A 27,138-nucleotide genomic window follows, 5' to 3' on the forward strand; every position below is an offset into this window, starting at 1 on the left:
AACACTTATATATGGTCCTTGCTGTGGCTAATTAGCTTCCTCACAGCATGATAGCTGACTTCTGAGAATGCATGTTCCAAGAGGACAATGTGCATGGCATTTTTATGACCTTGCCTCTGAAGCCACATAGACATCATTCAGCCACACTATTTTGGTTAACTCAGTTTCAAAGGTCTTCCCAGCTCAGAGCAAGGGGACATAGACTCTACCAACTGATGACATAATTGTCAACCTCACAGTATAGAAATTGCATTTGAGATGGGATATGTTGTAGAAGCCATCTTTATTCTTTTTTTTTTTTTTTTTTTGAAATGGAATCTCACCCTGTCACCCAGTCTGCAGTAGTGCAGTGGCATGATCTCAGCTCACTGCAACCTCCACCTTCCAGGTTTAAGTGATTCTCATGCCTCAGCCTTCCAAGTAGCTGAGATTACAGGCATGCACCACCACACTTGGCTAATTCTTGTATTTTCAGTAAAGTCGGGGTTTTGCCACGTTGGCCAAGTTGGCCTCGGATTCCTGGCCTCAGGTGATCTGTCCACTTCGGCCTCCCAAAGTGCTGGGATTACAGGTGTGATCCACTGCACCCAGCCAGGAGGCCATCTTTAGAAAAAGCAATTCATCATATGACTGCATACATGTGGGTAATTTCAGAAGAAGTAGCTCCCCTACAATATATGTTCCATAAAATATTTATACTTAGGCTACCCTTGACAAATATTTTCTCTTCACAATACAGGAAATTTTTATGAACTTGATTTTGGGTATGATGATGAGAGCAACTTGTAGGCTGAATATTACTCAAAAGAGCCTCTCTCCTGATGAAAAGCACATTTATCAAATTATTAGTGTTTCACTCTGTCAAGAGCCTAGAGTTGACAGTGAGGCTGCTTTATCATCACTCTTTGTGGAATATACAATTAACTATTACACTTTGATTTGTTCAAAAGAAATTCTTATGTGTCTACAATAAGTAACAAACCTTGGCTGGTCTAACCCTGCACCTTTAAATTGGTCAATTGACTCCTTTGACACAATACTCAACAATTTTGAACATCTTTGCTTTTTTACCCATTTTAACTATGAACATTGCCCCATATGGAACATATGCCCCATAAGGATTATGACCTTAGCCTACACTCCAGACCTCTTGCTTCGGCTCTTGACTAGAGTTTCACACTCATTGCCTTCAAACCTGATGATAGAAAGGACAAGCTTTTGGATCATTTTCTTGAATATGATTCTCACTTTTCTTCGGGCTGCATCCATCCCTTCCCCTACTCCAGTCAACAGGCTCTGCCACTGCTAGTACTGCCAGCCCAGCCTCTGCAACCCTTCCTGAATGCCAGCCTATGAAGTTTCCATTTCTGGGACTAGCAAAGCTGAAAGAATCACACCTCCAACCATGGAGAATGCAAATTTGAATTATGCAGATGCTCACCTCTAATTAGTTTAACATCTAGTTGAAGGTATAATATATGTAGACAACTAAATATAATGCAGAGCAGAATAAATGAGTGTTATAACAGAAATACAAACTCCTTAGCAGTATTAGATGAGTTCAGATAAACACCCGACCAAACATGCTTAATTTCCCTAAAAAAAAGTCATCTGATGTTGACAAATTATATATCATAAACATAGCTCAGCCAACATGTACCTAATTCAGTTGGCTATTCCAAAGGAAGACAGAACTACCTGTTCCTGAGTACCGTAGAAAAATGGTGTCCTAGGGTGAGATATGTCTTAACAATAAATGACACCTCCTACTATCCCCAACCTAGATTTCACAATGTCCAAGGTGGCATGGTGCAGTGTCACTTAATTTCTAGACAAGAAGACAGGCCCCAAACATTTCAACATACTAAAGTTTGTCACTGAAAGCTCTGTAGGAACAGAAAAAAAAAGCGTTGTGAGTGCCCAGAGATGTGCTGAATACCTATGGGAACAGTTCAGATCTCATTTATACTTCAATATACAAACAGTTCCAGCAGTATGTACACTCAAGTATAAATGATCTCATTTAATCATGTAAGTATTCAGGTATGAATGAGATCATTTATACTTGAATATTTGGTTATACACAGTTGGTTACACACAGTTCCAGCAGGATTCAGTGGTTACTGCCTGTGCTGTTGTGTCATACAAAGTTTCCACTTTGTTTATTTTGGATATTATTTAAATTTCCTCTTTGTGTTTCCTACAAAAATTTTAAACATTGCCTTTGATCTTTTCTTTTTATTCAGCTAGCTTGACTCCCTGAAATTCCAAGATATGTTTTGGCACAAGACAAAAAGAGCTGAATAGATTAAATATTTTTCTAATTCTTTTTTAAACTTTGAAGAAAGACAAGTTAAAAGTTATTGTCGATACCATGTGACTTAATCAAAGGTGCTGAATGTGTTTTTTATATGCACTTCAGAAGAATATTTGCTACTTATATCCTTTGAATAATACAGTTGAATCTCTTAGCTCATTTTTCCTTTAACAAAATTGTTAATTTAAGATCTTTTTAATGCTTTATTTTTAATTACTGGAGAAAGCCTTGAGCATTCCAAGAACGTAAGATTTAAAAATAATAATAAAGTAAGCTTCTGTTTGCTGAAGCTAACCCTTTGAATGTGGATGACTAATGTTTGGGGAATGAATAATCATTGTTCATAATTGTGGGTGGTAGTTTCTACACAGCCTGTGGACTAGTTTGTTAATCAAAGTACAATTTCATTTTTGTCTTATATAACCCAATATAAATTATTTGGGATATTGGAAACGTAGGTAAATTTTTAATAAACCAAATATTATTACAGGAAAGAATTCTGAATAATAAAGCCAGTGTTTTGTTGATCTTACTGCTGCCAGTTAACAGTTACTGACTCTGCCTTCTGACTCTGTAATGGTCATTCTCTTCTGACAAAGTATGAGTGTGGACTCTGGTCTGAGAATGGAAAGGAGAGATGTCCTCTTCCTGCTATCCTTCTCCCACAGAAGTCTCTGCAGACATAATAGATGCCTTCTATTGGTAGATTGGGCTCCAGCCTGAGCTGGACTGGGCTTCTGAGCCCTGGTTTCATGTTACTGTGAGAGGAATTCATGGAGCCTGATATGGTTTGGCTGTGTCTCCACCCAAATCACATCTTTAATTGTAGCTCCCATAATCCCCATGTATCATGGGAGGGATCGAGTGGGAGGTAATTGAATCATGGGGGCAGGTTTTTCCTGTGTTGTTCTTGTGAAAGTGAGTAAGTCTCATGACATTTGATGGTTTTATAAAAGGCAGTTCCCCTGCACACGTTCTCTTGCCTGCTGCCTTGTAAGACGTGCCTTTGCTCCTCCTTCACCTTCTACCATGATTGTGAGGCTTCTCCAGCCATGTGGAACTGTGATTCATAAATTACCCAGTCTCAGGTATGTCTTTATTAGCAGTGTGAAAATAGACTAATATAGAGCCTCAGTAGATCCATCCTGATATGGAGGCCACTCATCTCTCAGACACTGGTATCAAAACTTTAAACTTCTGTTCAATATCACTTCCTAGCATTGCAGTTGCCTTCTGGGACTTCAGCCAGCATGGTGGGCTCTAACGCCCCACCCTCTTATACCCTCTTTTCTCTCTCCTGGGAATTTGATCTTATTTCCCCTATGCCCAACGAAAGCTTAAGGTTGTACTGTACATGTGCCAACTTCCAGGCTCACATCAGCCTCCTGACTCCATCTCTGACCAATGAGTTCTCCCACTACTGTGCCAACCACCAGATGACTTCTCTGCGGATTCAGCTCTGGATTCCATCAAGGAACCAATGATGCTCCTTTGATTACCATAAAATGGCACATAGTAGGACTCACTCAGAGGCCAGCCCCCACTTCTCCTCAGTCCTTATTTCTTCACTTTCTCTCCTAAGGGGGTCCCAGCATATTTGTCAGTTCAAACTAATTTGGCAACCACCCACCCATGGCTGAATCTATGCACGACTGTCCTAAAAAAAAGTGTGGCAACTGCATTCCAGGGCTCAAAGACACTGCAGGCCCCACCTCCCACCTCCATCAAAATGCTTTTGCTTTTAGCTGTTATTCCCTGTTTCTGCCTACTGTTTTGTAACTGGATTTTGTCTCTCTGCTTAGTCCCTTTGTATTGTCTCTTCTGCCAGTCTATCTGATTTTCAATTTTAATTCTACATTTGGACTTTCTCACTAATTGCCCTCACTTCCATCCACCTACTGCAGCCTGAGGACAGGTCGAGGACAAGCCTGACATTCCATCGAGACCCGTAGGAACTGGCCAAAGCCCAGCACCCAAGAGGAAACATGGCTGGAAGAAGAGATTGGTAACTACCCAAATCAAAATCTTTTGTTTCATTTGAAATTGCCCCATTCATTCAAAACACTAATCCTTCTCCACTACCGATATACCTCTTAACCCCATCAAGGGAACCCATTTAAATTGCCAGAAGATCAACCCAAAACATATCATCATATTAAAGGAAAAATGAAAGGACATTGGTGGAAGTGATAATAGTATCTCCATATTTCCCTACTGGTTTCAAAACTTTTTTTTACGTTACTAATTCACATCCACAGGATTGGAAGTATTCATTAGAATTAAGTTTAGCTATGAGTGCCAGACACTCCAAGATAAAGTTTATTTCTCTTTTGTATATAAGTGACAGGTCCAGGGATGGCCAGGGACTCAGATGCCTGTATTCTTGCTCTACCATTCCCAGCATAAGATGCTCCTGCAGCGATTATCACATCTATTCTGGACCTAGCTTCAAGGGATGCCAGGAAATGCAGTCTTTAAGTGCCTATGTGTTTAGCTAAAAATTAAGAAAGAAAAAGATACAGATAGATATTACAGAACAATTTGTTTCTGCTACATTGGGCATGTGATTTCTAGTAATGTGTCCATTGAAATACAATTATGAAAAAGGTGTTGGTCCCTGTTCCTCCACTGTCATCATAACATTATGCAAATACATTTCTATGTATGTACCTATTTCTATGTAATGTGCATTTCTGTAGGTATCTAATGACATCCGGAAAAAATCTAATGAATTTTGAAGTACTTGAATCTTTTCTAAAATTTCTGATATCTGAGCCCATTTTATGATTATAAAATGCATTTTATCTACTTTTGCTTCATTGTTTAATGTAAATGAAATAATACAGAAATAAAATATTTGGTTCACTTTATGAGAGGTACAGCATGAACAACCAATTAAAAGTAGTTTCCAGGGATCCTTTGCCAAGAAACAAACAAGTAAAAATGATCTCTAAGTAAAGAAAGGGAATACTTGAAAGTCTTCTTTTTTTTTTTTTTTTTTTTTTGAGATGGAATCTCACTGTGTCACCCAGGCTGGAGTGCAATGGTATGATCTCAGCTCACTGGTTCACTGCAACCTCCACCTCCCAGTTTAAATGATTCTCATGCCTCAGCCTCCCAAGTAGCTGGGATTAGAGGTGCCTGCCACCACACCTGACTCATTTCTGTATTTTGGTAGCGATGGGGTTTCACCATGTCGACCAGGCTGGTCTCGAACTCCTGACTTGAAGTGATCCACCCACCTCAGCCTCCCAAAGTGCTGGAATTACAGGAGTGAGCCAGCATGCCCAGCTGAAAGTCTTCTTCATTAATACCTTTTATCTCGATATCATTTCATGAGTTTAAAATTTCATCATTAGCAGTTTATTAATTCTGAAAAAAGAAGCCTCTGAGGTACATATGGAAGAAATTATTAAGATATCTTACAGTTGATGAAACTAAGACTGAGAGGTAAATTATTTACATATATTACATAACTAATTGAGGATAACTGTGGGTCTAGAACCGAGGTTCTTTGACTTTTGAATCCAGTGGTATTAATTTCCTTGTTCGCAATTCCTAGGTGTAACTGCATTTATTCATGCATGTATGCATGCATGCATTCAACAATGACTTTTTAAATTTTGTTTTGATAAAAGTCCCTGGAATACACTCCTTTTAGGGGGTGTAAAAACTACCAAAGGAAATACCCTTTTAAAATAAAACATTCTTCAGTCTCGGGCTCTCCCCCAAAGTGGTTGCTTACTAGATACTGATATAGATATCTATATTGACATAAAGTAGGCTGGTGCAACTTGAATATATACAGCAGGGTACATTCAGATGCCAGTGCTATATTTGAAATCCAAATGTGTGTTTAGTTTTAAACCTGGTATTTTTAAAAATTAATGGTTTGGTTTTCTTTTACTGGGCAGCCTAGCTTCTGGAAGACCTTCACTGTGATCATAGAGTACAGAGTATTAGCTGTGGTTACCCAGGTGACCTGGCACCTAAGTGCCCAACCACTCAACAATAAAAGTCAGGATTACACCCAGCTAGGCCCATGAAGCAACCACAGACTCAACTGGTTATTTTTTTTCCTAACCAAACAAGATTAGACCAGTATTTTTGTGGACCTGTATATTCTCAGAACATTCTTATCTTCGTCTCTCCTTCATCAGCAGAGGCCAAACAATGTCAACTGTATCCAGCAGTTGACACTGAAGTGTCAACTGTAACCAGCAACTAACTCCCTTTCGGGCCAGGGTTGATTATTACCTTTATTCTACAGCTCTGTGTCTTAATGTAAAGCATTCAGTGGGAAGAAAAAGAATGTCCTTCTAAGCTGCACATCTAGAACCAGAACATATCCCCATTCAGAATAAACTAGTATTCAATTTCTGCCTAGCAAAGATAAAATGGAGAGCAATATATATGTATGTTTCTTACCCTCCTGAAGTTGACAATCTAAGAATCTAAAACTAAAGACAGACAAACAAGTAACTAGGAAGGAAGGAAGGGAGGGAGGGAGGGAGGGAGGACCAGGCTCTCAGAGGGTTGGCTAGATGCACACAAGTTGCCCACAGCCAACTCAGCTGAAGATAATAATTTATTCTAATTTGCTAAGCTGGACTTTGAAAATGCAATGTGAGTGAGTAACCATCCTCTAACATGTCTATCATTATGAAAGGAAAACTAACAGTTATGCCCGAGAAATCTATAATATCAACCACTGGTATCTGCATTCAATGCTGACCTACGTACACTATTGGCCCTACTTACACTCTTAAAAGAGAAAATTCAAAACAGATGTGCCTTGATAATTTATTCCTTTTCAATGAAATAGATTTCAGGAACTGAATTTCAACTACAGTGTTATTGGAAAGGAGGCCTAATCCAGACCCCAAGAGAGAGTTCTTGGATCTCATGCAAGAAAGAATTCACGGTGAGTTCACAGAGCAAAGTGAAAGCAAGTTTATTAAGAAAGTAAATAGAAGGGTGGCTACTCCATAGACAGAGCAGCCCCCAGGGCTGCTGGTTAGCTATTTTTATGGTTATTTCTTATCATCTGCTAAATATTGGGTGGATTATAAGTTTTCTTATCATATGCTAAATATGGGGTGGATTATAAGTTTTCTAGGAAAGGGGTAGGTATTTCCTGGAACTGAGGGTTCCTTCCCCTTTTTAGACCGTATAGGGTAACTTCCCGAGGTGGCTATGGCATTTGTAAACTGTCATGGCACTGGTGGGAGTGTCTTTTAGCATGCTAATGTATTATAATTACCATATAACAAGCAGCGAGGATGACCAGAGGTCACTTTCCACACCATCTTGGTTTTGGTGGGTTTTGGCTGGCTTCTTTACTGCATCCTGTTTTATCAGCAGGGTCTTTATGACCTGTATCTTGTGATACCAGTCCTGTTGACCTCCTAGCTCATCCTGTGATTGAGAATGCCTAACCTCCTGGGAACGCAGCCCATCAGGTCTCATCCTTATTTTACCCAGCCCCTATTCAAGATGGAGTCACTCTGGTTCATTTGAACTCTGACAACACCACTAAGAACCATTATAGGGATGCTTCAGTCTTCAAATTTTTCTGAGGTAGTTTTGGATGTAGTTAGAAATTAATCCTATGAGAGGGTAATAGAAAGCCAAGGCTCAAAGTTTTGAATCATCTATGGGCCAGTTGGCATCACTGTATGAACTGCATTCATAGTTTCTACCAGTTCCTGATTATAAAGGGAACCATTCATTGATTCACTCATTCATTAAATTAATATTTGAGGATCTAAGCATGTGAGAGAATAGATGGCTGAGCAAAAATCTAACACTTCTTGAAATTTTTAAATCAGAGGCATTTGATTTCATGAAAAATTAATTACATGCCTATTGTGCATTGAGACCTATGCTGTTAAGCTGATTGGCAAACCACTGATTTTAATGTAATTAGATAAAGCTTATGATAGATATATGCAAATGATGCTACTGAAAGGTAAAGTAAGAAGCAGGCAACTGCTCTATGAGGACACAGAAATATTTTTGTTGTTGTTATTGTCATTTATTTCTGTGTGTGTTTAATCTTGTGTTATTACATTCTAAGCACTGTACTAAGTATTTTTTGGGAATTCTGGTTTAATATTTACAGCATCCTAGGAAGTGAGCATTCATTTTCTCTACTTCAGCCTTACATGTGTGGAGGGAGAGGATGGGAGTGGGGAGAATGGCGGGACATTAAAGTTGGCCAGGTAAGAAGAGCCAGGCAATAAATGGTTTTATAGCGTAAGTAACTTGAAGGCAGGAACTACCAGAGAATTTTTATGCAGAATAGTAACATGGTCTCCTTTCATGTTACGAACAGCATTCAGCCTTTGCATTAGATTTGTGGGCATATGCCCTCAGCAGCTTTCTTGAAAGAAGTTCTGCTAGGTCATAAACATTAGACATTATAAAAGTGTTCTCCACAGCTGTTACAGAATAAGTTACATAAAGAATCAGAGGGAGCCCTGATTAAGATAACCTTGCCAAAGCAAGGTAGCGTGTGCAACCATCATATCAATAGCTCCAGAAGCACTGTTTGAAGGCATGGCTCATTCATTCCATGGCGTTGTTTTTCTCCTGTTGGTACTTTATAGGGATATGAAAATTAGTGATTATCTGTAAAATACATTATCAATTTATTCCTGATAAATGTGATAAAGTTGTTCATTTGCTGTACCCAGAGAATGAAACAGAGTTGTACCAAGGTTAAGCATTAAGTATTATAAAAGAAGAACACACACACAATCTTCTGTGAACACACACAACCTCCTGCCAACACACACAACCAGGAAGTTCTGCTTGATCTAATAAATGTGGATTCTGTGTTTTATATTGTTATAATCAGAATATACTAATATCAGCTTCCCTGGACACACTGAGTAATATGCCATGGCTATAGTGGAGTGGTTATCATTCTAGCTACAGACTAGAATCTCTGAGCAGCTTTTTAAGAATATTCACTTTTAGATCTCACCCCAGACTAATTCTTTCAGAATTTTTCTAGGCCAGTCCCAGTATTGGTATTTTTTTAAAGGTCTCCAGTTGATCTGTTACGTAACTGGGGCTGAGAACTGCAAACTCTTAGGGGATGCATAAGGCTGCATGAGTGGCTGAGTGTGGTGTGGCGAATTTCAGTTCTTTCCAGGGTAAAGACCTTCTTTAGGCCTTTGGGATTTTTAATGTAATCAAAACAAATTACTTGTTTGATTGTCTCAGCATACCTGTGAGGACATCTGTAAAGGCGAAGATCAAACTGATGAAGAAACTGTCAAGAAATGCTGTTGAATCTCAGGTACTATCGTTGGCCCATTTTAACAATTTTAAGGAATCAGGTTTTGAAATTTGGTCCACAAAGAATTATGTATTTACTCATACATTTTACCCGCAAATAGTATATGTTACCTCCAAAGGAGCAATGCTGGTTGAATTATTTATAAAATGATAAGCTTCTCAAGGAAGCTATTAAGAGAGAGAAACCAGGGCCTTTTTCCTACACAGTGATGGTTAATAAATCAAAATAGACACTTTGTTAATATGGCTAAATATAATAACAATACTGACAACTATAAAAGTCAAATTATTACAGAAAACAAAACTAAGTATCATATAATGCCTTTCTTATTGATCTGAGCAGTTCCAGTCAACCCTTACTAAAACTATTTTTATTAGAAGATTTAAGGGTTATGCTTTTATTGTTTTCAACTCATCTTGAATCTTTCAAGCTGGAGATTAACTCCCTAGGGACTACTTCTGACTGTGACGCTTTCAGGACAACATAGTTCAGCCACCTAGAGATTATCGACATGTCGCAAATAAGATTCTTTTCTAGGGCTGCTTTCTGGAAATGAAAGCAGTCTGTAGTGGGCTCTTCCATCCCCAGTCAGGTGAATAAGCTCAAAGGATATGTGTACCCTTTCTCCATAATAAAAGAAGATAAATGTTATAGTAGATGAGGCATAATGCTGTTTGCCTGTGCAAAATTACAAGATGGGCTTTTCCTAATCATAAGAAACCAATTTTCCAATGTCAGTCTTACAAGGAGTGGAAGTTTCTCACTTTCAAAGGTCACCATGGCTAAGTGGTCATTTTAGAAACCACCTCTAAGACAGGCTCAGATAAATCTTTTTCAGATATAGTTTATAGTCATAAAAAGACCATATTAAACCCTACGTTGAAAAAAGACACCATGTATTCCAGAACATATAATTATGAAACAACATGTACAAAACTTTTAAATAATTTTTTCAAAAAATTTTCAAGTACATTTATATTTCACTTTATTTTCTGAGGATGAACTGAATTATAATACAAAGCCTAGAAACTCAGAGTTTTGTAAAGGAGATGACCACCTCCCTGAAGAGGATCCAATATTTCCTAATGGAGGCTATTACATAATTACATGTTTAAAATTGCATTAGCTTTCTGTCCTTTAATTCTACTCCTTGAGTATATTTGGCATAACTATTGTTTACTCTCTTTCAACTTTACCCTATCCAAATTCATTTGTAAACATTAAACTTATATGCTAAATATCAATATGCAGTTTTCTTCCTTTACTTAAAAACACACATGTATCAATTTCTTTGATTACTGCAATCCTGTCTGCAGTACAGATATATGCATGCTGTCTGTAATTTCTGTTGTGTGTCTGCATCTTATCGCCACACAGGACTCTTAAGTTCTTGGATGGTAGAGATGTATACATTCCTGGTCTGATCAATATCCTCAAGAAAAGAAACAAATAAGCCTTCCCTTATTAAAAGTCTGCTGCATTTTCTTAATATTATGGAAATTCCTTCCTACAATTAAAACAGCGTGTGTGTGTTTGTGTATACTTTCAGAAACAGAAATTTCAATGACTCAGTAACATTCAAATAACAATATAAATACTGGTTTCATTAAATCTTCCATTGTCTTCAATGGTGCCCTGTTGCAATTTGAGAATAAAAAATTGGAAAAACTCTGCTGTGTCAGTTATGCATGCTTTAACAACATCACCACTAAAATCTAGTAGACTTTTCTCATTTAATTCACTGTGCAAAGCCTCATGGATTAGGTGGAAAGTTACAACTTGATGGTTATTTGATGGGGGTGGGAATGTGAGTAGAAAAAGATTCTTTGCATTTCTTATAGATATTTTGAGTACTCTTTGATACCTTCTGTATTAGCAGCTAATCAAAATATTCTCCTGGGAGCATGCTAAAACATTTTCCTAGCAATTTAATCTGGGTGAAATAATAACGTATTAATACCTGTTTATTTTCTTGTTTTTTTTATTTATTTATCTTTATTGTTATACTTTAAGTTTTAGGGTACATGTGCACATTGTGCAGGTTAGTTACATACATATACATGTGACATGCTGGTGTACTGCACCCACTAACTCGTCATCTAGCATTAGGTATATCTCCCAATGCTATCCCTCCCCCCTCCCCCCACCCCACAACAGTCCCCAAAGTGTGATGTTCCCCTTCCTGTGTCCATGTGATCTCATTGTTCAATTCCCACCTATGAGTGAGAATATGCAGTGTTTGGTTTTTTATTCTTGCGATAGTTTACTGAGAATGATGGTTTCCAATTTCATCCATGTCCCTACAAAGGACACCAACTCATCATTTTTTATGGCTGCATAGTATTCCATGGTGTATATGTGCCACATTTTCTTAATCCAATCTATCATTGTGGGACATTTGGGTTGGTTCCAAGTCTTTGCTATTGTGAATAATGCCGCAATAAACATACATGTGCATGTGTCTTCATAGCAGCATGATTTATAATCCTTTGGGTATATACCCAGTAATGGGATGGCTGGGTCAAATGGTATTTCTAGTTCTAGATCCCTGAGGAATCGCCACACTCACTTCCACAATGGTTGAACTAGTTTACAGTCCCACCAACAGTGTAAAAGTGTTCCTATTTCTCCACATCCTCTCCAGCACCTGTTGTTTCCTGGCTTTTGAATGATTGCCATTCTAACTGGTGTGAGATGGTATCTCATTGTGGTTTTGATTTGCATTTCTCTGATGGCCAGTGATGGTGAGCATTTTTTCATGTGTTTTCTGGCTGCATAAATGTCTTCTTTTGAGAAGTGTCTGTTCATATCCTTCGCCCACTTTTTGATGGCGTTGTTTGTTTTTTTCTTGTAAATTTGTTTGGGTTCATTGTAGATTCTGGATATTAGCCCTTTGTCAGATGAGTAGGTGGTGAAAATTTTCTCCCATTTTGTAGGTTGCCTGTTCACTCTGATGGTAGTTCCTTTTGCTGTGCAGAAGCTCTTTAGTTTAATTAGATCCCATTTGTCAATTTTGTCTTTTGTTGCCATTGCGTTTGGTGTTTTAGACATGAAGTCCTTGCCCATGCCTATGTCCTGAATGGTAATGCCTAGGTTTTCTTCTAGGGTTTTTATGGTTTTAGGTCTAACATTTAAGTCTTTAATCCATCTTGAATTGATTTTTGTATACGTAAGGAAGGGATCCAGTTTCAGCTTTCTACATATGGCTAGCCAGTTTTCCCAGCACCATTTATTAAATAGGGAATCCTTTCCCCATTGCTTGTTTTTGTCAGGTTTGTCAAAGATCAGATAGTTGTAGATATGCGGCGTTATTTCTGAGGGCTCTGTTCTGTTCCATTGATCTATATCTCTGTTTTGGTACCAGTACCATGCTGTTTTGGTTACTGTAGCCTTGTAGTATAGTTTGAAGTCAGGTAGTGTGATGCCTCCAGCTTTGTTCTTATGGCTTAGGATTGACTTGGTGATGCGGGCTCTTTTTTGGTTCCATATGAACTTTCAAGTAGTTTTTTCCAATTCTGTGAAGAAAGGCATTGGTAGCTTCATGGGGAAGGCATTGAATCTATAAATTACCTTGGGCAGTATGGCCATTTTCACGATATTGATTCTTCCTACCCATGAGCATGGAATGTTCTTCCATTTGTTTGTATCCTCTTTTATTTCCTTGAGCAGTGGTTTGTAGTTCTCCTTGAAGAGGACCTTCACATCCCTTGTAAGTTGGATTCCTAGGTATTTCATTCTCTTTGAAGCAATTGTTTATGGGAGTTCACTCATGATTTGGCTCTCTGTTTGTCTCTTGCTGGTGTATAGGAATGCTTGTGATTTTTGCACATTGATTTTGTATCCTGAGACTTTGCTGAAGTTGCTTATCAGCTTAAGGAGATTTTGGGCTGAGACAATGGGGTTTTCTAGATATACAATCATGTCATCTGCAAACAGGGACAATTTGACTTCCTCTTTTCCTAATTGAATACCCTTTATTTCCTTCTCCTGCCTAATTGCCCTGGCCAGAACTTCCAACACTATGTTGAATACGAGTGGTGAGAGAGGGCATCCCTGTCTTGTGCCAGTTTTCAAAGGGAATGCTTCCAGTTTTTGCCCATTCAGTATGATATTGGCTGTGGGTTTGTCATAGATAGCTCTTATTATTTTGAAATATGTCCCATTAATACCTAATTTATTGAGAGTTTTTAGCATGAAAGGTTGTTGAATTTTGTCAAAGGCCTTTTCTGCATCTATTGAGATAATCATGTGGTTTTTGTCTTTGGCTCTGTTTATATGCTGGATTACATTTATTGATTTGCGTATATTGAACCAGCCTTGCATCCCAGGGATGAAGCCCACTTGATCATGGTGGGTAAGCTTTTTGATGTGCTGCTGGATTTGGTTTGCCAGTATTTTATTGAGGATTTTTGCATCAATGTTCATCAAGGATATTGGTCTAAAATTCTCTTTTTTGGTTGTGCCTCTGCCCGGCTTTGCTATCAGGATGATGCTGGCCTCATAAAATGAGTTAGGGGGCATTCCTTCTTTTTCTATTGATTGGAATAGTTTCAGAAGGAATGGTACCAGTTCCTCCTTGTACCTCTGGTAGAATTCGGCTGTGAATCCATCTGGTCCTGGACTCTTTTTGGTTGGTAAGCTATTGATTATTGCCACAATTTCAGATCCTGTTATTGGTCTATTCAGAGATTCAACTTCTTCCTGGTTTAGTCTTGGGAGAGTGTATGTGTCAAGGAATTTATCCATTTCTTCTAGATTTTCTAGTTTATTTGCGTAGAGGTGTTTATATTATTCTTTGATGGTAGTTTGTATTTCTGTGGGATCGGTGGTGATGTCCCCTTTATCATTTTTTTATTGCGTCTATTTGATTCTTCTCTCTTTTTTTCTTTATTAGTCTTGCTAGCGGTCTATCAATTTTGTTGATCCTTTCAAAAAACCAGCTCCTGGATTCATTAACTTTTTGAAGGGTTTTTTGTGTCTCTATTTCCTTTAGTTCTGCTCTGATTTTAGTTATTTCTTGCCTTCTGCTAGCTTTTGAATGTGTTTGCTCTTGCTTTTCTAGTTATTTTAATTGTGATGTTAGGGTGTCAATTTTGGATCCTTCCTGCTTTCTCTTGTGGGCATTTAGTGCTATAAATTTCCCTCTACACACTGCTTTGAATGCGTCCCAGAGATTCTGGTATGTTGTGTCTTTGTTCTCATTGGTTTCAAAGAACATCTTTATTTCTGCCTTCATTTCGTTATGTACCCAGTAGTCATTCAGGAGCAGGTTGTTCAGTTCCCATGTAGTCGAGCAGTTTTGAGTGAGATTCTTAATCCTGAGTTCTAGTTTGATTGCACTGTGGTCTGAGAGATAGTTTGTTATAATTTCTGTTCTTTTACATTTGCTGAGGAGAGCTTTGCTTCCAAGTATGTGGTCAATTTTGGAATAGGTGTGGTGTGGTGCTGAAAAGAATGTATATTCTGTTGATTTGGGGTGGAGAGTTCTGTAGATGTCTATTAGGTCCACTTGGTGCAGAGCTGAGTTCAATTCCTGGGTATCCTTGTTGACTTTTTGTCTCGTTGATCTGTCTAATGTTGACAGTGGGGTGTTAAAGTCTCCCATTATTAATGTGTGGGAGTCTAAGTCTCTTTGTAGGTCACTCAGGACTTGCTTTATGAATCTGGGTGCTCCTGTATTGGGTGCATATATATTTAGGATAGTTAGCTCTTCTTGTTGAATTGATCCCTTTACCATTATGTAATGGCCTTCTTTGTCTCTTTTGATCTTTGTTGGTTTGAAGTCTGTTTTATCAGAGACTAGGATTGCAACCCCTGCCTTTTTTTGTTTTCCATTTGCTTGGTAGATCTTCCTCCATCCTTTTATTTTGAGCCTATGTGTGTGTCTGCACGTGAGATGGGTTTCCTGAATACAGCACACTGATGGGTCTTGACTCTTTATCCAATTTGCCAGTCTGTGTCTTTTAATTGGAGCATTTAGTCCATTTACATTTAAAGTTAATAGTGTTATGTGTGAATTTGATCCTGTCATTATGATGTTAGCTGGTTATTTTGCTCGTTAGTTGATGCAGTTTCTTCCTAGTCTCGATGGTCTTTACATTTTGGCATGATTTTGCAGCGGCTGGTACTGGTTGTTCCTTTCCATGTTTAGCGCTTCCTTCAGGAGCTCTTTTAGGGCAGGCCTGGTGGTGACCAAATCTCTCAGCATTTCCTTGTCTGTAAAGTATTTTATCTCTCCTTCACTTATGAAGCTTAGTTTGGCTGTATATGAAATTCTGGGTTGAAAATTCTTTTCTTTAAGAATGTTCAATATTGGCCCCCACTCTCTTCTGGCTTGTAGGGTTTCTGCCGAGAGATCTGCTGTTAGTCTGATGGGCTTCCCTTTGAGGGTAACCTGACCTTTCTCTCTGGCTGCCCTTAACATTTTTTCCTTCATTTCAACTTTGGTGAATCTGACAATTATGTGTCTTGGAGTTGCTCTTCTCGAGGAGTATCTTTGTGGCGTTCTCTGTATTTCCTGAATCTGAACGTTGGCCTGCCTTGCTAGATTGGGGAAATTCTCCTGGATGATATCCTGCAGAGTGTTTTCCAACTTGGTTCCATTCTCCCCATCACTTTCAGGTACATCAATCAGATGTAGATTTGGTCTTTTCACATAGTCCCATATTTCTTGGAGGCTTTGCTCGTTTCTTTTTATTCTTTTTTCTCTAAACTTTCCTTCTCACTTCATTTCATTCATTTCATCTTCCATTGCTGATACCCTTTCTTCCAGTTGATCGCATCGGCTCCTGAGGCTTCTGCATTCTTCACGTAGTTCTCGAGCCTTGGTTTTCAGTTCCATCAGCTCCTTTAAGCACTTCTCTGTATTGGTTATTCTAGTTATACATTCTTCTAAATTTTTTTCAAAGTTTTCAACTTCTTTGCCTTTGGTTTGAATGTCCTCCCGTAGCTCAGAGTAATTTGGTCGTCTGAAGCCTTCTCCTCTCAGCTCGTCAAAGTCCTTCTCCATCCAGCTTTGTTCCGTTGCTGGTGAGGAACTACATTCCTTTGGAGGAGGAGAGGCGCTCTGATTTTTAGAGTTTCCAGTTTTTCTGTTCTGTTTTTTCCCCATCTTTGTGGTTTTATCTACTTTTGGTCTTTGATGATGGTGATGTATAGATGGGTTTTTGGTGTGGATGTCCTTTCTATTTGTTAGTTTTCCTTCTAACAGACAGGACCCTCAGCTGCAGGTCTGTTGGAGTACCCTGCAGTGTGAGGTGTCAGTCTGCCCCTGCTGGAGGGTGCCTCCCAGTTAGGCTGCTCGGGGGTCATGCGTCAGGGACCCATTTGAGGAGGCAGTCTGCCCGTTCTCAGATCTCCAGCTGCGTACTGGGAGAACCACTGCTCTCTTCAAAGCTGTCAGACAGGGACATTTAAATCTGCAAAGGTTATTGCTGTCTTTTTGTTTGTCTGTGCCCTGCCCCCAGAGGTGGAGCCTAGAGAGGCAGGCAGGCCTCCTTGAGCTGTGGTGGGCTCCACCCAGTTCGAGCTTCCTGGCTGCTTTGTTTACCTAAGCAAGCTTGGGCAATGGCGGGCGCCCCTCCCCCAGCCTCGCTGCCGCCTTGCAGTTTGATCTCAGACTGCTGTGCTAGCAATCAGTGAGACTCCCTGGGGTAGGACCCTCAGAGCCAGGTGCAGGATATAATCTCGTGGTGCGCCGTTTTTTAAGCCCGTCGGAAAAGCGCAGTATTCGGGTGGGAGTGACCCGATTTTCCAGGTGCCGTCCATCACCCCTTTCTTTGATTAGGAAAGGGAACTCCCTGACCCCTTGCGCTTCCCGAGTGAGGCAATGCCTCGCCCTGCTTCGGCTCGCGCACGGTGCGCGCACCCACTGACCTGCGCCCACTATCTGGCACTCCCTAGTGAGATGAACCTGGTACTTCAGATGGAAATGCAGAAATCACCCGTCTTCTGTGTCGCTCAGGCTGGGAGCTGTAGACTGGAGCTGTTCCTATTCGGCCATCTTGGCTCCTCGTGTTAATACATGTTTAATAAGAATGCTAGATGTCCGTTTCTTCAAATTGGATCCTGTTCAGGGAGGTGCTCATCTCCTTTAGAAAATTATGAGGCTTTATTTTATGATTCAGTTGATACACAAAGGCAAAAATAAAATAATAAATGTACTTGAAATTTTTTGAAAAAAATCTTTAAAATTTTTTTCATGTTGTTTCATAATTGTATGTTCTGGAATACAAGATGGATATGGTTTGGCTCTGTGTCCCTACCCAAATCTCATCTCAAACTGTAATCCCTATGTATCAGGAGAGGGACCAGGTGGGAGGTGATCGGATCATAGGGGTGGTTTCCCCATGCTGTTCTTGTGATATTGAGTGAGTTCCCATGAGAGCTGATATTAGAGTGTGGCAGTTCTTCATTCTCACTCACACTCTCTCCTGCCGCCTTATGAAGAAGGTCCTTGCTTCCCCTTCACCTTCTGCCATAACTGTAAGTTTTCTGAGGCCTCCCCAGCCATGCGGAACTGTGAGTCAATTAAACCTCCTTTGTTTATAAATTAACCAATCTCAGGTAGTATCTTTATAGCAGTGTGAGAATGGACTAATACAATGGTCTATGTTTTCAACTTAGGGTTAAATATGGTCTTTTTATGACTATATATCTGAAAAAGATTTATGTAAGCCTGTCTTAGAGATGGTTTCTAAAAAGATCACTTAGCCATGGTGACCTTTGAAAGTGAGAAACTTCCACTCCTTGTAAGACTGACATTGGAAAATTGGTTTCTTATGATTAGGAAAAGCCCATCTTGTAATTTTGCAAAGGCAAACAGTGTTATGCCTCATCTACTACAATGTTTGTCTTCTTTTGTTGTGAAGAAGAGGTTCACATATCCTTTGAGTTTATTCACCTGACAGGGGATGGAAGAGCCCACCATAGACTGCTTTCATTTCCAGAAAGCAGCCCCAGAAAATAATCTTATCTGTGAGATGCAGATAATCTCTAGGTGACTGAACCATGTAATCCTTACTAAAATTTCAATGTCATTTTTCACATAAACAGGAAAAAACAATTTAAAAATTCATATGGAACCATAAAAAACAAACCAAGACAATCTTGAGGAAAAAAAAAAGCTGAAGACATTACACTACCTGACTTCAACCTATATTTGAAAGTTACAGTGATTGACATTTTTTGAAAAAATCCTTTGTTTATACATAGTATTGGCATAAAAATAGAAACACTGACCAATGGAACAGAGTAGAGAACTCAGAAAGAAGCCCACACACTTATGGTCAATTGATTTTTAAAAACTTTTCCATAAGTTATTTAGGTACAGGTGGTATTTTGTTACATGAGTAAGTTCTTTAGCAGTGATTTGTGAGATTTTGGTGCACCCATCACCCGAGTAGTATACACTGCACCCTATTTTTAGTCTTCTATCCCTCACTCCCTTCCCACCCTTTCCCCCTAAGTCCCCAAAGTCCAATGTATCATTCTTATGCCTTTGTGTCCTCACAGCTTAGCTCCCTCATATCAATGAGAACATACCATTCCTGTGTTACTTAGTATAACAGTCTCCAATCTCATCCAGGTTGCTGCAACTGCCATTAAATCATTCCTAACCATGGCTGAGTAGTATTCCATTGTATAAATATATCACAGTTTCTTTACCCACTCGTCAATTGATGGGCATTTAGGTTGGTTCCACAATTTTGCAATTGCGAACTGTGCTGCTATAAACATGCATGTGCAAGTATCTTTTTCGTATAATGACTTCTTTTCCTCCGGGTAGATATTCAGAGGTGGGATTGCTAGATCAAATGGTAGTTCTACTTTTAGTTCTTTAAGAAATCTCCACACTGTTTTCCATAGTGGCTGTCCTAGTTTACATTCCCACCAGCAGTGTAGAAGTGTTCCCTGTTCACCGCATCCACGCCAATATCTACTGTTTTTTTATTTTGTGATTGTGGCCATTCTTGCAAGAGTAAGGTGGTATGGCATTGAGGTTTTGATTTGCATTTCCCTGATGATTAGTGATGTTGAGCATTTTTTCCTATGTTTGTTGGCCATTTGTATATCTTCTTTCAAGAATTGTCTATTCATGTCCTTAGCCCACTGTTTGATGGGATTGTTTGTTTTGGTCAATTGATTTTCAATGAAAGTGCCAAGAACATCACAATAACAAAGATGAACATCACTGATCACTAGGGAAATGCACATTAAAACCATAATGAGCTACCATCTAATACCTGTAGAATGACAATTGTCAAAAATATGAAAGATAACAAGTGTCAGTGAGGATGTGGAGAAAAGGGAACGCTGTACAATATTAAGAGAATGTTAACTAGTACAGTCATGGAAAACTGTATGGAGGTCCTGCAAAAACTAAAAACAGAATTACCATGTGATCCAGTACCACTTCTGGGTATATACCCTAAAAACTTGATATCAATATTTTAAAGAGATATCTGCACTCCCATATCCTGCAGCATTATTTACAATAGTCAGGTTACAAAATTAACCTAAGTGTTTATCAATGGATGAATGGATAAAGAAAATGTATTACACACACATACACAAACATAAAGAAACACATACACAATGGAATACTAGTCAGCCTTTAAAAAAAAAAGAAATTATGTCATTGGCAACAACATGGATGAACTCAGAGGACATTATGTCAAGTCAAATAAGCCAAGCACAGAAAGACAACAATTGCATGTTTTCACTTTTATGTGGAATCTAAAATAATCAAACTCATGTAAGTGGAGAGTAGAATGGTTGGTCACCAGAGGCTGGGGGTTAGGCAGAATGGAGAGATGTTGATCAAAGAGTAGAAAGTTACAGTTAGACAGAAGGAATAAATAATAAGTATTTAAGGTAACTGAAATGTTAATTAGTTGGTTCAATCACTTTACACTGTATACATACATCATAACATCACTGTGTACCACAGAATTATATATGATTATAAATTGTCAATAAAAAGAAAAGAAAAAGAAACAAGAATTATTTCTTGTACAAGCCTTTTCAACCACTTGTGATGAGCCTGTGCAACTTCCTGTTCCCTCCACAACCATCTGAAACAGAACAAAGCACACTCCCAAGGCTGTGCAGCTCCCCCAAGCAGGGGATGCTTGTGATGTGCATCTCAGATGTGGTCACAGAGGAAAATGAGCAAGGAAGTACCTCTGAGCAGGCGAGGTCAGAGGTCACGAACACAGGTAGATAAGGAAGAAGAAAGATTCCCTCAGAGAACACAATCAGGTGCTTCCAGACAGTTTAACAAGGAAGTTACTTACTACACTGCCAGGTAAGTGATAGATGCTTTTCTGATTCTTGCTTTTGGTGAAGAGTTGGTGGCATTAGATGTCAAGTAAACTCAGGAACCTCACTTTTGGGTACTTTCAGTTGGGAAAACATTCAATACTAAATACATTACTAAAAAATAAATAAATAAATAACAGTCCAGTTGCGGTGGATCATGCCTATAATCCCAGTACTTTTGGAGGCCAAGGTAGGAAGGTAACTTGAGCCCAGGAGTCAAGACCAGCCTGGACAACATAGTAAGATTTCATCTCTACAAATAATCTTTTAAAAAATTAGCCTGGAATAGTGGTGCATTCCTATAGTCCTAGCTACTCAGGAGGCTGAGATGGGAGGATCACTTGAGCCCAGGAGGTCAAGGCTGCAGTGAGCCATGATCATGCCATTGCACTCCAGCCTGGGTGACAGAGCAAGACCCCATCTCAAAAAATAAAAAATAAAATAAAATAATAAAATAACGAATGTTCATTGTTTTAGTGTACAGACCATTACCTCCTTGATTAAATTTTTTTTTTTTTTGAGACGGAGTCTCACTCTGTTACCCAGGCTGGAGTGCAGTGGCTCGATCTCAGCTCACTGCAAGCTCCATCTCCCAGGTATCTCCTGCCTCAGCCTCCTGAGTAGCTGGGACTACAGGTGCCCACCACCACACCTGGCTAATTTTTTTGTATTTTTAGTAGAGACGGGGTTTCACCGTGTTACCTAGGATGGTCTCGATCTCCTGACCTTGTGATCTGCCTGCCTCAGCTTCCCAAAGTGCTGGGATTAGAGGCGTAAGCCACCGCACCTGGCCTAGATGCCTTTTCTTTTTCTTAACTAATTGCTCTGGCAAGGACCTTCAGTGTTTTATTTAATAGAACTGGTGGAAATGGACAGCCTTGTTTTGTTCCTTATCTTAGAGTAAAAGCTTTCAACTTTTCATAATGTAAGCTATGAACTTGTTATATATGGCCTTTATTGTGTTGGGGTATATTTCTTCTATATTTAATTTGTGGAGAGTGTTGAGGATGTAGAATTGTGTCAAATGCTTTTTTCTGCATCTAGAGAGATGATCCTATGATATTTGCCTTTCACTCTTTTAATGTGGTGTATCACATTTATAGATTTGTGTATATTGAATTATACTTGCATCCCTGGGGTAAACCCCATTTCATCAAAGTGTATAATTCTTTTAATGTGCTGTTGAATTCAGTTTGGTTGTATTTTGCTGTGAACTTTTCTATCTATGTTCATCAGGGATATTGACTTGTAATTTTCTTTTCTTGTAATGTCCTTGCCTGACTTTGGTAACAAGGTAATGCTGGCCTCAAAGAAGAGTCAAAAGTATACTGGTTCTCTTCAATGTTTTCAAAGAGTTTGAGAAAGCCTGATATTAGTTCTTCTTTAAATGTTTGGTAGAATTTTGCCATAAAGGCATCTGGTCCTGGGTTTGTTTGCTTTTTTGATGGGAGACTTTTTAAATTATTGATTCAATCTCCTCACTCATCATTGGTCTGTTCTTATTTTCTATTTCTTCTTGATTCAGTGTTAGTAGGTTCTATGTGTCTAAGAATTTATCCATTTCTCTAGGGTATCCAATTTGTTGACATATAATTGTTCATAGTAATTAGGCCATTCTTGCATTCCTATAAAGAAATACCTTTGAGTCATAAGTTTTATGAGAAAAAAGAAGAAGAAGAAGAAATACCTGAAATTGGGTAATTTATTAAGAAAAAAATGTTTAATTAGTTCATGGTTCTGTAGGCTGTACAGGAAACATTGCAGTATCTGCTTCTGGACAGGCCCCAGGAAGTTTCAATTATGATGGAAGGTGAAGCGGGAGCAGGCACATCACACAGCGAAAGCAGGAGCAAGGAAGCAAGAGTGGGGAGGTGCCACACACTGTTAAACAACCAGATCTTGCAAGAACTCACTCCCTATCATGAGGCCAGTACCAAGGCGATGGTACTAAACCATTCATCAGAAATGCACCCCCATGATCTAATCACCTCCCGCCAGGCCCCACCTCTAACATTGGGGATTACAATTCAACATAAGAGTTGGGTGGAAACACAGATCCAAACCATATCAATAATCTTCTATGATCATTTGTACTTCTGTAATATCAGTTGTAATGTCTCATCTTTCATTTCTGACCTTATTTATTTGAGTCTTCTCTCTTTTTGTAGTTAATCTAACTAAGAGTTTGTCAATTTTATTTTTTCAAAAAACCCACTCTTGCTTCCATTTATTTTTGTATTGTGTTTCTAATCTCTATTGCATTTATTTCTGCTCTGATCTTTATTTCCTGCCTTCTGCTAAATTTGGGCTTACATTGTTCTTCTTTTTCTAGTTCATTGAGGTATAATATTGGGTTGTTTATTTAAGATCTTTCTCTTTTTCTGATATAGGTATTTATTGCTAGAAATCTCCCTCTCAGAACCGCTTTTGCTTCAACCCATAGGTTTTGGTATGTTGTGTTCCCATTTTCATCAGAGTCCTTGCTACTTTGGCAAGAAATTCTTTGAAATTTTAGTAAAATTTTAATCTACTTCTTTCACATCAATTTCCTATGCATATGACCCACCCCAAAAATCTTATCTAGAAATATATTTTAAGTCTAGACATTTACTCTTGCAGTTACTGGCCTCATAAAATAACTCTTCCCCTCATTTCTCTTAAAGGTATGTGCCTTAAAGCCAATGGAAGGCAATATCTAAATCTAATTTTTGCTGCTACACAGCTTCTGGCACAGAACTCCTAATGAAAGGTCTTTTTAAAGGGCTTGAAAACACAGCCTTCCTTGGCAGAATTGTGTTTCTTTTCATCTATACTTGTAGGCCAGCTAGTTTTAGCCTGAGTTTATCTTCTTCTTCCTCACTAAGCTTAATCATTTCTAGCTTTTGATTTAAAGTGAGACACATGTAACTCTTCCTTTCACTCGAACACTTAGAGACCATTTTAGGTTATTAATTGGCTTAATTTCAATATTGTTTTGTTTCAGGGAATAGGAGGTCCAGGGAGATGGGAGAGAGATGGGAGAACAATCAATCAGTAGAGTAGTCAGAACACACACAACATTTATCAATTAAGTTGCTGTCTTAATTAAGGTGCACCAAAACAATTACAGTGGTAACATCAAAGATCACTGATAACAGTTCATCATAACAGATGTAACAACAACAACAATAATAATAATAAACAATTTTGAAATATTGCAAGAAATTACCAAAACGTGACACAGAGGCACAATGTGAGCACATGCTGTTGGAAAAATAAACGACAGACTCGTTCAAAGCAGAGCTGCCACAAACCTTCAATTTGTAAAAAGCACAGTGTTTGCAAAGTACTGCAAAGCAATGAGCAATATAATAAGATATGTATGTATTTCAGGTAGCACTATACTTAGTTAAAGATTAAGAGTTCGATAATAGGTAAGAAGACAATGTTAGGAGCAGCTAACAGTATCTATCAAATCTATAATAAAAAAAATCCATAACGTAACAGAAGAAATATATTTTCAAAGACTAGAAAACATTGAAACCAATACTATAGAGTCAACTCTATCTTCGAGTCATCATAAATGTATTTAAGTATATAGATTAATGACCTGGAAGAGTGATTGTATTTGAACCCATTAGTACCCAACACAAAAGACAGATCTTTTGGTAAATCTTCCATTTTTCAGCAATGTCAGATTATGTTGTCATATTTGCACGTTATTTATGTAAAAAGGAACCACGTGAAAAAAATGCACAGCTGTGTAAGAGAGTTTAAGGATTGAGGTCTGAACAGCAAAGCCATGTCAGCCATATAACATATATTCCGGCCTCACCAGCACAATCCTAGCTTATTTCTGCTGTCCTACTGTCCCAATTTTTGGGGTTTTTTTGTGGGGTTTTTTTTGTTTTTTGTTTGTTTGTTTTTTGAGACAAAGTCTCACTCTGTCACCCAGGCTAGAGTGCAGTGGCACAATCATGGTTATCACAGCATCAACTTCCTGGGCTCAAGTGATCCTCCTGCCTTAACCTCCTGAGTAGCTAGGACTACAGGTCTGTGCCACCACATCTGATTTTTCTTTTTTCTCTTTTTTGTAGAGATGAGATCTCATTATGCGGCTCAGTTTGGTCTCAAACTCTGGGCCTCAGGAGATCCTCTCATCTGAGCCTCCCAAAGAGCTGGGATTACAAGAGTGAGCTCCCCTACCCAGCCTGCTCCAGTAATTAATAACAGAGAGCTTCTATATACTGTCAAAAGTGCCCTGGTTCAGAAAATAAAGTATATGGTCACCCTAGCTATACTCCCATGTATAATAAATTTCTACATTAAGTTTAATTTCATGAAAAATACTGTGTTTAACAACACATGCCCATTGTTTTCTATATTAGTAAGAATGTTCTCATTTGTCAAATAAATAATAATACCCACAAGCTACCCATCTCAACATAGCTGAGAGAAATGTTAAATGAAAATTCATAGTCCTAATGCTATAACCTGTCTGACAGATGCCAGAGAGAACCTACTTCTATCAGATTAGCCCTTCCTCTTTATCTTTAAATGTTTTATCTTGAATTATTGCTTAAACTGCTTCAAGTCTTTCCTAAAGTAAGAAATATATTATGTCATAATATGAATAAATACTTATACAATTAAGTAAAAGATCAGAATGCAAGATTGTGTATAGATTCATTATATCTGCGTTGGAGGAACTTTATGCATATAAAGGAAAGCTAAGAGGAAAACATCAAAACTTTAATACTGATTGTGTTCAGAAGATAAGTAATATGGTTTGGCTGCTATGTCCCCTTCCAAATGTCAACTTGAATTTATCTCCCAGAATTCCTATGTGTTGTGGGAGGGACCTAGGGGGAGGTAATTGAATCATGGGGGCAGGTCTTTCCCATGTTATTCTCATGATAGTTAATAAGTCTCATGAGATCTAATGGGTTTATCAGGGGTTTCTGCTTTCACTTCTTGCTCATTTTCTCTTGCTGCGCCCATGTAAGAAGAGCCTTTCGCCTCCTGCCATGATTCTGAGGCCTCCCCAGCCATGTAGAAGTGTAAGTCCATTTAAACCTTTTTGTTCCCAGTTTTGGGTATGTCTTTATCAGCAGCATGAAAACGAACTAATACAGTAAATTGGTACCGGGAATGGGGTATTGCTGAAAAGATACCCGAAAATGTGGAAGTGACTTAGGAACTGGGTAACAGGCAGAGGTTGGAACAGTTTGAAGGTTCAGAAGAAGACAGGAAAATGTGGGAAAGTTTGGAACTTCCTGGAGACTTGTTGAATGGCTTTGCCCAAAATGCTGATAGTGATATGAACAATAAAATTCAGGTTGAGGTGGTGTCAGATGGAGATGAGGAACTTGTTGGGAACTGGAGTAAAGGTGACTCTTGTTATGTTTTAGCAAAGGGACTGGTGACATTTTGTCCATGCCCTAGAGATTTGTGGAACTTTGAACTTGAGAAAGATGATTTAGGGTTTCTCATGGAAGAAATTTCTAAGCAGCAAAGCATTCAAGAAGTGTCTTGGGTTGTTAAAGGCATCAAGTTTTATAAGAAAGCAGAACAGAAAAGTTCAGAAAATTTGCAGCCTGGTTATGCAAAAAAAAAAAAAAAAATCCCATTTGCTGGGCAGAAATTCAAGCCAGCTGCAGAAATTTGCATAATAGCAAGGAGCCTAATGTTAATCCCCAAGACCATGGGGAAAATGTCTCTAGGCCATGTCACAGACATTCAAGGCAGTCCCTCCCATCACAGGCCCAAGAGGCCAGGGAGAAAAAGTGGTTTTGTGGGCCTGGCCCAGGGTCCTATGCTGTGTGCAGCCTAGGGACTTGGTGCCCTGTGTCCCAGTCATTCCAGCCATGGCTGAAAGGAGCCAACATAGAGCTCAGCCTGTGGCTTCAGAGAGTACAAGCCCCAAGACTCGGCAGCTTCCATGTGGTATCGAGCCTGGGAGTACACAGAAGTCAAGAATTGAGGTTTGGAAACCTCCGCCTAGATTTCAGACAATTTATAGAAATGCCTGGGTGCGCAGGCAAAAGTTTGCTACAGGGGTGAGGCCCTCATGAAGAACCTCTGCTAGGGCAGTGAGGAAGGGAAATGTGGGGTGGGAGCCCCCACATAGAGTCCCTACTGGGGCATTATCTAATGGAGCTGTGAGAAGAGGGCCACTGTCCTCCAGAACCCAAAACAGTAGATACACCCA

The 27,138-nt window shown here is 38.9% G+C and overlaps 2 long non-coding RNA genes across 2 annotated transcripts in view; one reads left to right on the top strand and one right to left on the bottom strand.

Annotated features, from left to right (window-relative positions):
- Positions 1-27,138, bottom strand: part of LOC105376755 (uncharacterized) — a 673,333-nt gene that overhangs the window by 635,431 nt on the left and 10,764 nt on the right. The window lies entirely within an intron of this gene.
- On the top strand, positions 4,225-9,973 carry LOC105373817 (uncharacterized). The gene is made up of 3 exons (XR_923733.3): positions 4,225-4,322; positions 7,143-7,241; positions 9,551-9,973. It is a non-coding gene; the product is annotated as an uncharacterized LOC105373817 (long non-coding RNA).

Source organism: Homo sapiens, chromosome 2 (assembly GCF_000001405.40).
Source record: "Homo sapiens chromosome 2, GRCh38.p14 Primary Assembly".
NCBI lineage: Eukaryota > Metazoa > Chordata > Mammalia > Primates > Hominidae > Homo > Homo sapiens.